The sequence below is a fragment of the Homo sapiens genome, chromosome 3, assembly GCF_000001405.40.
Source record: "Homo sapiens chromosome 3, GRCh38.p14 Primary Assembly".
Lineage (NCBI taxonomy): Eukaryota > Metazoa > Chordata > Mammalia > Primates > Hominidae > Homo > Homo sapiens.
In genome coordinates this window covers 191,724,665-191,741,031 of record NC_000003.12, presented here as the reverse complement: position 1 = coordinate 191,741,031, position 16,367 = coordinate 191,724,665, and positions in this window count along the sequence as shown.

The following is a 16,367-nucleotide window of genomic DNA, read 5'->3' as shown; positions in this document are numbered from 1 at the left end:
AGGGTCAATTCTTATATAGTGGCCATATTCCACATCCTGTCATCTCTTAGGTTAAAAGGACTACTGACTCAAACTCAGCCTCTTGAGTTTGCAGTTCACCACTTCCAGCCTGGTGACTTAGTCCTGATTAAGACTTGGAAAGAAGACAAGCTCCACCCAAGCTGGAAAGGTCTCTATCAAGTGCTCCTGACCATTGAGACAGCCATGCAAACAGCTGAATGGGGGTGGACTCACTATACTCGAGCCAAGGGACTGGTAAAAGAGACCCCATAAGGGAGGGGAAAAGACCAGTGAAAAGTGCACGGGTCACCTGAGGACTCTTAAAGTTAACTCTGAGAAAAGTCTAATAAGAAACATGGGCTGGCCCCATTTCTGGAAGTTAATATGTCTGGGATGGGCTACTATACAAAGAGCAGAAGGTCAAAATGGAAACTGTCAGGGGACTCCTCCCTACCCAATCAGGTTGATGATTAATGTGACCAAGATAGCAGCACCCAAAACTATAAGATTTGATGCCTGCCATGCCTTACCTTGTGGGAATTTAAAAAATCAGAGACAGCTCTTGCAGGCAGATAAATATATTTGCCCTGAACCAGATACAGGTTACAGTAGGGCATCACCATGCCCCAGCTGTGATAATGTATGATGGATGAATACCTTTCAGCGTTGGATAATAAACATGGGGTGGGTAACTCTGAGCTGGAGACCCTTGAAGGATAAACTACATCTGTCTAAGGGCTCCCCCACCCCTCCAAATAATTGCCAGAATTTAGAATGCAATCCTATACTGATCACCATTGACAATCCAGCTGTTCTAGACTAAGAACCAAAAGTAGCATCTCGTGTATATGGGTTGGGGTAGACATCACAGGGAAAGACCCCCTAGGGTGATTTGCTCTCAAACTAATCAAGAACTCAACTCCCATTTGCCTGGGATGACTCCAAACCCACACCCTAATAAACATTTTAGTCTTCCAAATAATGACCCTAAAAGGGTAAAAATAATTGAGGTAAAGGATTTAAAGCAAACTTAGAAATTGAGACAGGGTATGGGGATGTGAATGCCTGTGTTGAATGGGTCAAATTTTTGGTACAAGCCCTCAACAAGAGTAGCTGCTGTGCATGTACTGTGAGATGATCTCAGGCACAGGTGGCTATGTTTCCCCTAGATACTGATCTAGGATACTGATCCTGAAGGAATGTGTTGCATGTTGGCTCTATACCAGGACAAAGATGCATGGGGAAATGAGACTTGTAGGAGTCTGTCATTGCTCTTTCCTGCATTGCAGAGGTCAGATCTTAGAGCAATCCCCTCATTCTCTATAGGGAATATGAACCACTCCTCTTCCCTCTCTAGGCAGTGGGCAGAGTTCAATAAGCCTGTGGGAGAATGTCGACTTGTACCCACATCCTAAACATCACCGGTGAGGCAATGGCAATTAATCAGTGATCCATATACCCCAGGATGATGACTGGTGGTATTGTGGGAAAAGGAACCTCCATAACTTGTTACCATCCCAATTGGACCAGGACTTGGGCTTAGGTCCACCTGGCCATTCTCTTCACCCTGGTATTCCATAAGATACCCGAAAATATACATGGCCACCGAAACAGAGAGATATAACAAATTCTTTTGATCCCAGTATATATGTGGAGTCTATAGGAGTCCCTAGGGGGGTGCCTAAAGAATTTAAGGCCAGATACCAAATAGTTGCGGGTTTGAGTCAGCACTTTTCTGGTGGTCAACTATTAATAAGAATGTTGATTGGATTAACTACATCTATCATAATCAACAGAGATTTATCAGTTATACTCATGACACCCTCAAAGGCGTGGCTAGCCAATTAGATGCCACCAGCTGAATGGCCTGGGAAAACAGGTTTGTGTTAGATGTAATTAACTAGCAGTAAAGGGGGCATATATGTTATGCTGGGTGGGAAATTTTGTACTTCTATTCCCAAGAATACTGCCCCAGATGGGACCATCACAAAAGCTTTACAAGGACTGATGACTCTAGCCAACAAACTGGCAGAAAATGCTGAAAGTAATATACCATTTATGGGTTGGCTAGAAGGTTGGTTTGGAAAATGGAAAGGCATGGTATCTTCAATTCTTACATCTCTCATAATTGAGGCCAGAGTCTTAACAGCAGTGGAGTGTTGTATTATGCCTTGTGTAAAGGAACTAGCACAGAGATTAATTGAAACAGCTAGTAATAAACAAATGTCATGACTTACCAGTAAAGTAACCTGCTACTATTAGAAACCAAATTAAACTCATTCTCCTATGAGGAAGAAAGTAAATGACTTCTAGAGCAATTCGAGGACCAAAACGATTTAAATGAAAATGAGACCAAAGGAAGTAAATAGAAAAGAGGAGGTAATTTGTGAGAAAATATTTTAAATGATCCATTTTCAAGGCATGATAAATCTAAGCACTGGCAGCCAGACTGTGAATGTAACAAACTGCACAGCCCACACTCCTAGAAAGTCATGATAAGTAAACAGCATGTAGAAGAGGGGTCAGCCCATAAAAGGGAAGAAAGTTTCATTATTCAGAAATCAAAACTTAAGTGGAGAAGGGGACCAGGACAAAACCTTATAAGGGAGATAATGAAACTTAGGTTTCATCTGGGAAGATTGTAACCCCACAGTACTTGACACTTGCATACTAGAAGATAAATTGCCTGCCATAGCTGCCCTGGGTGTGCCCGCCTACTGGACAGCTGATCTTGCAAGACCACTACTAAAAGTCTCACTTTTGCTGTTCTTCCTGCCTCTGAGTCCATTCTCTGAGTTTGGATAGAGCATGTTTCTCACAGTCCTCATGCTGAACTAGGCCCAGAGATACTGGATTTGGGAGACATGCAACACACTGAGACACCAGCCAAGGGAGTGCTGGCATCACCCTTCCCCTAACCCCAGGCTGCATAGCTCACAGCTCCAAAAGAGACCCCTTCCTTCCACTTAAGGAGAAGAGAGGGAAGAGTGGAGAGGATTTGTCTGGCATCTAGGATACCAGCTCAGCCACAGCCAGATAGGGCACTGGTCAGAGTCATGCAGCCTCTGTTTCAGGTGCTAGCTCCCAGATGACGTTTCTAGACACACCCTGGACCAGAAGAGAACTTGCCACCTTGAAAAAAAGGACCTAGTCCTGCCAGCATTTATTGTCTGCAAACTGAAGAGCCCTTGGGCCCTGAATAACCAGTAGTGATACCCAAGTACTGCATTAAGGGCCTTGGTGAGCCTCAGAGACTTGTTGGCTTCAGGTGAGACTCAACACATTTGAAACCAAATTAAACTCATAACTGTGGTGGCTATGAGACAGCCAGGTTGGAGGGGGTCCCTGGAAAATCTTCAACCAGCCTGTGCACTGTGGTTGAGCCACAGAATTTTGCACCATTTGCCATGGTGAGGAGCCTGGCCTCTCCTCTTACTGTGTGGAACCTGGGGATTCAAGCTGCGGGTGGGAAGCGCTCTAGCAGGGACGCTGGTCTTGCGAGAGTCCCTGTGCCACCTTTTTTCCTTTTCACCCAATAAAACCTAGTCCTACTCACCATTCAAATTGTCTGTGAGCCTGGATTTTCATGGCCATGGGACAAAGAACCTCGTCTTTACCTGAACTAAGGAAAAGTTCTGCAACAGCTATGGGACAAAACTTCTGCTTGAGAAAAGCAGAGGGAAAAGTAAAGGAAACTTTGTCTTGCACCTTACCAACACAGCCACAGTGGGGCAGAGCACCAAGTGGGCTCTTGGGGTCTCCAATTCTAGGACTTGACTCTTCAGTGGCATTTCTTGACCTGCCCTGGACCAGAGGGAAGCCTACTGTCCTGAAGGATGAGTCCCAAGCCAGGCAACATTAATGACAAGCTGACTTAAGAAACCTTGGGCCTACAGGCAACACTGGTGGTAGTCTGGCAATACTCCTATGGTGGGGTGGCTATCACCACACCCCACTTAAAATGGCTTATATCCAAAAGACAGGCAATAAGAAATGCTGGCGAGGATATGAGGAAAAGGGAACTCTTGTATACTGTTAATGGGAATGTAAATTAGTACACGCACTATGGAGAACAGTTTGGAGGTTCCTCAAAAAACTTAAAATTGAGCTACTACATGATCCAGCAATCCCATTGCTGAACATATGCCCAAAAGGAAAGAAATCGGCATATCAACGAGTTTTCTGCACACCTATGTTTGTTGCAGCACTGTTTACAATAAGATTTGGAAGCAACCTAATTGTCCATCAACAGATGAATGGATAAAGAAAATGTGGTACATACATACAATGGAGTACTATTCAGCCATAAAAAACAATGAGATCCTGTCATTTGCAACAACATTGATGGAACTGAAGATCATTATGTGAAGTGTAATAAGCCAACCACAAAAGACAAACATCACATATTCTCACTTATTTGTGGAATCCAAAAATCAAATCAATTGAACTCATAAAGAGTAGAAGGATGGTTACCAGAGGCTGGGAACAGTAATGGGGAAGGGGAGGATGGGGGAGCAAGGTGGTGATGGATAATGAGGACAAAAAAAAAATATTTAGAAAGAATGAATAAGACCTACTATTTGATAGCACAGTAGGCTGACTACAGTCAATAATAATTTAATTGGACAGTATAAAATAATTTACAGAGTGTAATTAGATTATTTGAAATTCAAAGGATAAATGCTGGAGGCAATGGATACTCCATTCTCGATGATGTGCTTATTTCACATTGTATGCCTGTATCAAAACATTTCATATACTCCGTAAATATAGACACCTACTTTGTACCCACAACTTTTTCTTTTTTTTTTTTTTATTATACTTTAAGTTCTAGGGTACATGTGCACAACATGCAGGTTTGTTACATAGGTATACATGTGCCATGTTTGTTTGCTGCACCCATTAACTCGTTATTTACATTAGGTATTTCTCCTAATGCTATCCCTCCCCTAGCCCCCCACCCCATGACAGGCCCTGGTGTGTGATGTTCCCTGCCCTGTGTCCAAGTGTTCTCACTGTTCAATTCCTACCTATGAGTGCGAATATGCGGTATTTGGTTTTCTGTCCTTGTGATAGTTTGCTCAGAATTATGGTTTCCAGCTTCATCCATGTCCCTACAAAAGACACTAATTCATCCTTTTTTATGGCTGCATAGTATTCCATGGTGTATATGTGCCACATTTTCTTTAACCAGTCTATCATTGATCGACATTTGGGTTGGTTCCAAGTCTTTGCTATTGTGAATAGTGCTGCAATAAACATACGTGTGCATGTGTCTTTATAGTAGCATGATTTATACTCCTTTGGGTATATACCCAGTAATGGGATTTCTGGGTCAAATGGTATTTCTAGTTCTAGATCCTCGAGGAATCGCCACACTGTCTTCCACAATGGTTGAACTAGTTTACACTCCCACCAACGGTGTAAAAACCTTCCTATTTCTCCACATCCACTCCAGCATGTGTTGTTTCCTGACTTTTTAATGAACGCCATTCTAACTGGTGTGAGGTGGTATCTCACTGTGGTTTTGATTTGCATTTCTCTGATGACCAGTGATGATGAGCATTTTTTCATGTGTCTGTTGGCTGCATAAATGTCTTCTTTTGAGAAGTGTCTGTTCATATAATTTGCCCACTTTTTGATGGAGTTGTTTATTTCTTGTAAATCTGTTTAAGTTTTTTGTAGATTATGGATATTAGCCCTTTGTCAGATGGGTAGATTGCAAAAATTTTCTCCCATTCTGTACATTGCCTGTTTACTCTGATGATAGTTTCTTTTGCTGTGCAGGAGCTCTTTAGTTTAGTTAGATCCCATTTGTCTATTTTGGCTTTTGTTGCCATTGCTTTTGGTGTTTTAGTCATGAAGTCCTTGCCCATGCCTATGTCCTGAATGGTATTGCCTAGGTTTTCTTCTAGGGTTTTTATGGTTTTAGGTCTACATTTAACTCTTAAATCCATCTTGAATTAATTTTTGTATAAGGTGTAAGGAAGGGATCCAGTTTCAACTTTCTACATATGGCTAGCCAGTTTTCCCAGCACCATTTATTAAATAGGGAATCCCTTTCCCATTTCTCGTTTTTGTCAGGTTTGTCAAAGATCAGATGGTTGTAGATGTGTGGTGTTATTTCTGAGGCCTATGCTCTGTTCCATTGGTCTTTATCTCTGTTTTGGTACCAGTACCATGCTGCTTTGGTTACTGGAGCCTTGTAGTATAGTTTGAAGTCAAGTAGCATGATGCCTCCAGCTCTGTTCTTTTTGCTTAGGATTGTCTTGGCAATGTGGGCTCTTTTTTGGCTCCATATGAAATTTAAAGTAGTTTTTTTCCAATTCTGTGAAGAAAGTCAGTGGTAGCTTGATGGAGATAGCATGGAATCTATAAATTACTTTGGACAGTATGGCCATTTTCACGATATTGATTCTTCCTATCCATGAGCATGGAATATTCTTCCATTTGTTTGTGTCCTCTTTTATTTTGTTGAGCAGTGGTATGTAGTTCTTCTTGAAGAGTTCCTTCACATTCCTTGTAAGTTGTATTCCTAGGGTTTTTATTCTCTTTGTAGTAATTGTGAATGGGAGTTCACTCATGATTTAGCTCTCTGTTTGTCTGTTATTGGTGTATAGGAATGTTTGTAATTTTTGCACATTGATTTTGTATCCTGAGACTTTGCTGAAGTTGCTTATCAGCTTAAGGAGATTTGGGGCTGAGACGATGGGGTTTTCTAAATATACAATCATGTGATCTGCAAACAGGGACAATTTGACTTCCTCTTTTCCTAATTGAACACCCTTTTTTTTTTTTATCTTGCCTGATTGACCTGGCCAGAACTTTCAACACTATGTTGAACAGGAGTGGGGAGAGAGGGCATCCCTGTCTTGTGCCAGTTTTCAACGGGAATGCTTTCAGTTTTTGCCCATTCAGTATGATATTGGCTGCGGGTTTGTCATAAATAGCTCTTATTATTTTGAGATATGTCTCATCAATACTTAGTTTATTGAGAGTTTTTAGCATAAAGGGCTGTTGAGTTTTGTCAAAGGCCTTTTCTGCATCTATTGAGAAAATCATGTGGTTTTTGTCATTGGTTTTTTTTATGTGATGGATTACGTTGATTGATTTGTGTATGTTGAACCAGCCTTGCATCCCGGGGATGAAGCCAATTTGATTGTGGTGGATAAGCTTTTGGATGTGCTGCTGGATTCAGTTTGCCAGTATTTTATTGAGGATTGTCACATCGATGTTCATCAGGGATATTGGCCTACAATTCTCTTTTTTTCTGGTATCTCTGCCAGGCTTTGGTATCAGGATGCTGCCGGCCTCATAAAATGAGTTAGGGAGGATTCCCTCTTTTTCTAGTGATTGGAATAGTTTCAGAAGGAATGGTACCAGCTCCTCTTTGTAACTCTCGTAGAATTCAGCTGTGATTCCGTCTTGTCCTGGACTTTTTTTGGTTGGTAGGCTAATGATTATTGCCTGAATTTCAGAGCCTGTTATTGGTCTATTCAGAGATTCAACTTCTTCCTGGTTTAGTCTTGGGAGGGTGTATGGGTCCAGGAATTTATCCATTTCTTCTAGATTTTCTAGTTTATTTGTATAGAGGTGTTTATAGTATTCTCTGATGGTAGTTTGTATTTCTGTGGGATCGGTGGTGATATCCCCTTTATCATTTTTTATTGTGTCTATTTGATTCTTCTCTCTTTTCTTCTTTATTAGTCTTGCTAGTGGTCTATTTATTTTGTTGATCTTTTCAAAAAACCAGCACCTGGATTCGTTGATTTTTTGAAGGGTTTTTTGTGTCTCTATCTACTTCAGTTCTGCTCTGATCTTAGTTATTTCTTGCCTTCTGCTAGCTTTTGAACTTGTTTGTTCTTTCTTCTCTAGTTCTTTTAATTGTCATGTTAGGGTGTCAATTTTAGAGCTTTCCTCTTTTCTTTTGTAGGCATTTAGTGCTATAAATTTCCCTCTACACACTGCTTTAAGTGTGTCCCAGAGATTCTGATACATTGTGTATTCGTTCTCATTGGTTTTAAGAACATCTTTATTTCTGCCTTCATTTTGTTATTTACCCAGTAGTTATTCAGGAGAAGGTTGTTCAATTTCCATGTAGTTGTGCAGTTTTGAGTGAGTTTCTTAATCCTGAGTTCTAACTTGATTGCACTGTGGTCTGAGAGACAGTTTGTTTTGATTTCTGTTGTTTTACATTTGCTGAGGAGTCTTTACTTCCAAATATGTAGTGAATTTTGGAATAAGTGTGACGTGGTGCTGAGAAGAATGTATATTCTGTTGATTTGGGGTGAAGAGTTCTGTAGACATCTATTAGGTTTGCCTGGTTCAGAGCTGAGTTCAAGGCCTGAATATCCTTGTTAACCTGTCTCGTTGATCTGTCTAATATTGGCAGTGGGGTGTTAAAGTCTCCCATTATTATTTTGCGGGAGTCTAAGTCTCTTTGTAGGTCTCTATGGCTTCCCTGGTGGTTTAGTGGCTAGGATGTAGCACTTTCACCACTGTACCCACAACTTTTTCTTTTTTTTCTTTTTCAAGGAAGATTGTATTAGGCAGAAATTTAACCCCATAACCTTCAGCTCCAATGTTTTACCTACGAATACGTCACATTACAAGGAATTTTACAGATATAATTATGGTTTCTAATTAAATTAGGAATATTATATTGGATTATTCAGGTAAACCTCATATAAACACATGAGCTTCTAAAAGCAGAGTTTTCTTAGCTGAGAGTAGAAGGAGAAGTCAGAGAGATGCAACAGAGAGGGAAGTCAAAGAGATTTTAAGTGTGAAGGAGACTCAACTCACCATTGCTTGAGGGGGCTGCTGAAAATCATATATATAGGTGGACTCTAGGAGAAAAGAACAACACCCAGCTGACAGGCATCAGGAAAATGGAACCTCAGTCCTTACAACTACAAAAAAAATGCATTCTACCAACAGAAGCTTGGAAATGAATTCTTCCACAGAGACTAGTGAGGACCACAGCCCTACTGCCACTTTGATTTCAGTCTTGTTAAACCTGGAGATGAAGACTCAGCTGACCCCACCTAGATTCCTAACCTCCAGAACGGGATAAAAAAATTGCATTTATTGAAGCATCTAAGTCTGTAGCAACTCTTGTTAAAGAAAAACTTATGCACATTTAAATTTTAAGGAGTTTATTTGAGCATTCAGAAAATCTGAGTAGCACCAGACTACTCAGGGTATAGCGCTCCACCAGGAGGGGCAACAGGGGAAACTTTTATAAAGTATTCACAGCAGCAAGAACAAATAATCATAATTGGTTAGAGTGAAAAACTTCTAGATAGAGATTTGTTGGTGGTTTCTGATTGATGTGGTTTCTAATTCCCATGTACTATTACTCTGGGCTTTGGTTTGTACATTTAAGAATTTAAAGTGCTAGAGCCACCCCAGTCTAATTAATATATTCCCAATTAAGATTTTTTTTGTAAGATTTGTTATGGCAGAACAAAAACTAATACAGGCCTCATGGATATAGACATTGACATATGATTAGGATTATAAAAGGAGCTGGCTAAGAGGAGGGCATCCCTGGCAGAGGGTTGAGTATAGGTCATAGTGCAAAAGCAGAATAATTCAAGTGTGATGCAAAATCAATTCAATTTGCCTCATAAGACTGAGTCTGAGCCTCAGTTAGCTCATCTGGAAGCATGTTGTAAGCTGTATTATTTAGAGGCCTAGTGAGTCTATGAAAGTGCCTGAAGGGAAACTGTGGGTAGACTATTAGCAGAAAGAACATGTTGACTTATCATGGACCACTCCCCTCCTAACATCCTCACTCTTACACTGCTTTAACAATTAAGGAATGAAGGTAAAGGTATTATGCCATTTGAAAAAAAAAGTTCTGCTGCTTCAAACATTTAAAAATACCTAAACTTGGCTGGGTGCGGTGGCTCACGCCTATAATCCCAGCACTTTGGGAGGCCGAGGCAAGTGGATCACAAGGTCAGGAGTTCGAAACCAGCCTGACCAACATGGTGAAACCCTGTCTCTACTAAAAATACAAAAATTAGCCAAGCATGGTGGTGTGCACTTGTAATCCCAGCTACTCAGGAGGCTGAGGCAGGAGAATCACTGGGACCCGGAAGTCGGAGGTTGCAGTGAGCAGATATCGTACCACTGCACTCCAGCGTGGGCGAAAGAGCAAGACTCCGTCTCAAACAAACAAACAAAAAAACTAAACTTGGTGTTTCCTTCCAGAACAGCAATCTATTATTATTTCTCAAGCATGTTATGAGCATCAAATCAGATAATTGTGAAATGTTGTATTTTCAAATTATTGGTAGTTTTCCTGTGGTGATGTGCATTGTAATAAGTATGACCATGAAATAAGTATGAAATAAGAAGGACTACCAATCAGTATTGGCATTGTCTTTAGAGGTAAGCATGCTTTAGCAGAAATATAAGGATTTCAACACGATGGAACATCCCGCTCCTCTTTTGTAACACAGTTCAGGATAGCTGTTCAAGGTCAAAGAGAAGAGGAAATTGTTCTCTATATTCATTCAAAAGTGAGATTATCTGAAGTTTCCCATCATCATATGTGACTACTAAGTACTCTCAAGTCATCATTATTGTCATCCTACCCAAATAAAAAGGGCGTGAAAGTACACTTGTGGGAGCTTTTATGATCCATGACAGAAAGTGGTACATATGATATCTACTCTAATTTCATTAGAAAGTACTGATATACAAGGCTGATAAATGTAGTAAAAACAGTTGCTAAATAACTGGCCTTTATGAAAGAATAGGTGAGGGTGAAGATTTTGAGAAATGTTAACTGTCTCTGCCTCAGGGTAATGTGCATATGAAAACCTCCAAGACAAGCAAGAAGTACTTTTCTTTTTTTATAGCCAAATTAGAGGTAATTAAAAGCAAGCATTTTCTAGTGGAAGTATAATGGAGCTGTTATCTATGGAGCTTTTGGGGAAAGCCTGTGTAGAGGTGGAGGGAGGAGACAGGGTATATTGTTGGTACAAAGAAGAAGAAAAGAAAATTACAAGAGAAAAGGAGTCCGATTTTTCCTCATATTTTATGAAATCTAAGTGTATTCTGTTTGTAATCAGACTGTGTGATATTTTACAATAACAGAAGTACACAAGTACCCAACTACCCTATGTAACCTTCAGGAGCACAGACAGGTATAGACCTCAAAAGAATAGGAAACACTATACCGAAATGAGGCTCTATAAAACAGGAGAGAATATCAGTATGAGCAGCAGGCAGTGTATATATACTGCAAAGGCAATAGGGCCCAAACAGTAAGACCTGTCAAATTTGCTGCATTATGAAGGAGGTACAAGACATTGAAAGATAGGGAACTTGATATCAAGGAGCAAAGAGTCTTATTAAGTTCATATATAGCTGAGTGAATTATTTTTAATGTATTCTTACTTTGCAATCAACTTGTACGTATAAGTCTATGCCAAGAGTGTTTTCATTATAGGTTTCATTATAGGCCCCATGCCAGAATAAACGATACAACCCAGGTCTAGGAAACCTGTGTCTTACACCAAACAGTAAGAGATTCATTGAAATCGATGAAAAAGTTACCAAAGAGTTAATAAACAATATCAGGTATATAATAAGTTAATGGTGAGTAAAATGGAAGGGAACATGCAAATTGTGTTTTTAAAGAATGTCATCATATAGAGGAGAAATAAAATGTATTATTTTGACTGTCAGGGATAAAGTCAGAAAGGAAAATTAGAAACTTTGGAAAGCTAAATATTTTGTTTTAAAACAACTTTCTGTTTATACTTCAAAGGTAGAATGGGAAGCCCTGGGAGAAAACTTGAACTCTTCTCAACTAGAAGATTGCAGGAAAGGTCCAGTAGATCAGTTGGAAGAAATGCTGCAGCTAGGAGAGGTGGATGCTAGGTGATAGTTTTACATTGTGCTGAGGCTTAGAAGCCAATACCTCAAAATACGGCGCTTTGATACTCTGAACTGAAAAAGAAGCCTCAAAGTCTTCCTGAACTACCTTACTTCCCTCCACCCAGCCCCTCGCTCCTGTCTCTCAATCCTTTGTCTTTCCTGAAGCACAAGAAGAAGTTGTTTTCTGAAGTTCTCTTATCTGCCTAAAGCCTGGACTCAGAACAATTATGTCTGCTGGGACTTCAGTTTTCATTAACTGAACTAATATCACACGAAGAAAGACAGAAGCCTATCCACACTCATGGACAGACTTTTGTCACAAACCATCATCTGCTCTTCAGGCCCAAGAGACACTATCCTAGGCCATTGTATCTTTTTTTAAGCCCATTGAATTTCCCTGAAAATCATTTAATACTCCCCCTAAAATCATCCACACTTTCCCATCTTCCTATAAGATTCCACTATATTCCACTATAAAGTAGAATATATAAGCATCTCTATCCCATTGGGATTTTGGGTAATCACTCTGATTTTTTCCCTGTGCATGCTAATAAATTTGTACACTGTTTCCCCTGTTAATTTGCCTTTTGTCAGTTGAGTTTTTCAGTGATACGATAGAGGGCAAAGAAGTTTTTCCTTGACCCCTACAATGGCTTTTAGTTTCCTGCCAATGTTAAAATTGTCACTTTATGACAGAAATGCAACAAGACAAAATCCATCCAGACCTTTAAAATAATGCAAATGTGCTGAGTCATATTTCTTTGTGTACAACAAGTGTTTTTGTTTTGCTTGATTTTTTCCATGTTTTTGGGAAGTTTGTAGAAAAGTGATAAAACTCAAACAAACCTACTTTGCATTAGACACAATAAATTTATTGCTCATTCTTACTTCCTAAAAAGAAAAATATCTATAGAGTATAGATATTCCTATATGCATTTCTTAGTTCCTAAAACTGCTAAGAAATCAAGATAAGGATATATTTATTAATATACCTACTTTTATTGATGGAGGACATAAGGTGGAAAACTATTGCTTAAGGCTAGACAGCAAGGCAGAGGAAGAAGGAGAGAATTACCTCTCTTTTGACTTCTACTTCAGTATTCTGGGCCCTCACTGCAGCTGTCTCCTAAGTATGTGTCTTTCATATTGATTACTATTATTGTACACTTGTTACTAAGAGTTCAAAATTACTAGCCTGAAGCTTCAAGATAATAAAAAACAAACAAGCAAAAATAAAGTCACTTTTCACTGTTCAGAGAGAAAAGATTATTAAAGAAAGAAAAAAAGATCAAGACTTGCCAAAAAAATCCTTAATTTATATATCATATGAGTTAAAGACACTATGCTTGCTCATATCATTCCGTAGTACTAAAAAAATTTTTAAATAAAGTTCTTATTCACATTTATTTCAAAAATCCAGAGATCTTGGTTAGTGTTTTTATTTTTATGCTACCACATCTGCTTACATTAAATTTTCAACTTCAGTTGCTACTAACTTAATTTAGGCCCTAATCTATTCCATGGACTATTGCAACACTCTGTTAAAGAAACTCCTGAAGTCCATCTGTTTAATGTTCAATCCATTAATGCTACTTGGATAAACATTCTAAATTTTAGACTATGTTATGTAACTCTTTGTCCAAGAGATAACTTCCACTGAATACAAGGTAGGTCCAAATTCCTTAGTCCAATATTAAGGTCAGCAAGTTGACACAAAAAGACTTTAAAAAATCTCATTATCCAGTAACTTCTCACATATATTCTTATACCTTCGTAATCTAGTCATATTAGGGTACACTTCATACCAGTTTTAAAGAGTCATATGCTTTCTTGTTTCCGAAAGACACTTTGACCACCTGCTACAAATTTCATATCTTCTTAACAAATTTCTTTTCTAGGCATCAAGTGCAATTCAAATGTAAAGTCTTCTTATAAGCCTTTCCTAGACTACTAGGTAACTATGAAATCATCTCAATTTCATATATTTCCATTATATCTTAAAATCAACATTATATAACACCTATTATTTATATTAGAATTACATATATGACTGTCTATGGCTCTTTATCAGTCAAGGTCCCATCAAGACCACATAAAATATGCCAATTAATTTAACAGAAAAAAATATAAGTTATTGGATATATAAATATTAGAAGACTGAAATACAAATTAGGAAACATTGAGATGCCAAAGAAATATTTTCTGCAGGAAACAGCTATCATTTCTGGACATGAGGCTAAAAAAAGGGAAGAGGTAGGTGTTTTTAACAATTAGTATTTGAAAGTAGTTCCCTCAGAGCAGGAGCCAGACCTCTTCAGAAGGAAGGCTGAACAGCTTATGCTGTTAGAAAAGAAACGTGTGGAGCTAGGACGCAAACTTTGAGGAGCAAGCACTGTTTGGTGCTGGCATTTCTCAGGGAGTACAATGAGGTTGGTTCTGGGAGTGAAGATAAAAGACAGAAAACACATATCAATCCTACAATGAAAGTACTATTGTGTTACTAGGAAAATATTTGGTCCATAAAGGTGGTCTCTTATTTGTTGAATGAATTACACAAATCACTAAAGTCTCATTTTACAGATGAGATTCTGAGCTGCAAAGGAAACGTTGTTTAATGTTATTTTACTCAGTGGGCTCTCAGGACTTAGGTTTCATTAAAAAGTCAGTTTTTGAATAAAACTCTTGTATCATCAAGATAGTTAATATTTAAATTCAAATGTACATTGATGAAAAGAAAGTAAACTTTCACTTTATGAGTTAATCTTTTGTACCATGATAGCAATGACATTCAAATTGAGTGGCAATTTTATAAAATATTCTGTATAGAGAAAGAGCAATCAGAAAACCACTATTTCTTATTTCTTACTTGATTACACCAAAGTGAGTCTATTTCAAGGATGGTCTCAGCTTATCTGCAGAAAAAAAAATGAGAGTGATGATAAAAAGCTTGTGTATGTATGTGTTTGAATATATTAGATCAACTTGAACAATGTTATTTTTTGAAGTCACTTTTCTGACTCAACTGTCTGCTTTCCTTGTTCAGTCTCTTGCTCTAAACTATGTAGTCAAACTCCTAAGTATTACACAGATCCTGCTCAAATGCTATGTTTCATGAAAACATCCTTGATTCTTCTACATATATACTTTAATGAATGCTTGTGGCCTTTTAGTTCTCGCTTTTGGGGGACACATTTTACCAGCTATCTTGTATAATGAATAATTGCACTTGAAGTCCAGGTACAAGTCAATTCAATTCCTTAATGTTTTAAACTGTCTTCCAGAAATAAAAGTAAATTATACATAGAGGAAGACATCATCCAAAGCCTCAAAGAAGTTCTTTAATTTTCTTCCACAGTTTCTGCCATCCTATCAAGAATAAACAGCTATACAGACAAGAATGGACAAAAATCAAAAGAAAAAATAGGTGATAAAAAGAGATACATTAAAAATCAATTTTAAAAAATCAGAATTATACTTTAAAGTGCTTAATATGTGATTAATGTTTAATAACTTAATATGATGAATCATGGGAGGTAAGAGAAAGTATAAAAATAATTATTCAGAAAGTCTGAATAATGCCTTAATTAAAATATAATGATTTCAATTTCAACACATAGTTTTAATAACATTATAGGCCCTGGTGAAGAAATAATTTATTAATTAGAAACTAGGTCAGTAGAAAACATCTGACCTGAAATATGGGGAGGCAATAAAAAATAATGGAAAATACAGAACAGGTCAAAAGATAAATTGGAAGTGGGGAAGAAACTGAATGTCTATGAAATTGGAGTTGAAGAGGAGGAAGAAGAATAAGAGAAAGTGGCGAGACAGAATAGGTCAGAAGACGGTAATTTTTCAAAACTGACAAAATATGTCAAGCCAAATATGTAACTAGAGATAAATAAACTTTTAAAAATCCATACCTAAGTATATTTTAGTAAAACTTTTGAAAACGAAATACAAAAAGACACCATCAAAGTAACAGCAAAAATTGAGCAATGATTTTAAAATAAATATAATGAAAACATAAGACAATGAAATGGTATAATTAATGGTTAAAAGAAAATACCCAGCAAACTATAATTCTTTGCCTGATGAAAATAGTTTTTTAAAAATGAAGGTGATATTGAAGATATTTCTCAAAAAAGAATTTATCATAAAAAGACTGCACTAAAGAAAATAGTAATGCATTTCATAATTCATTATGAAAAGAATGGATTAGTCAATAAATAGTATAATTTGTTATCCATATAAAAATTGTGCTCTCTACTTCATATCATACAAAGAAGTAAATTTCAGATGATTAAAGACCTGATGTGAAAAGCAAAACTAATTTTAGCAGAAATATATGTTAGAATATCTTTATGACTGCATGACAGGGAAAGATGTCTTAAGCACAAAGCCTAAAAGAAAAGATGTCTGTTTATAATAATATTAAAACTTTCTTTAAATAAAAATTCCTCATGAAC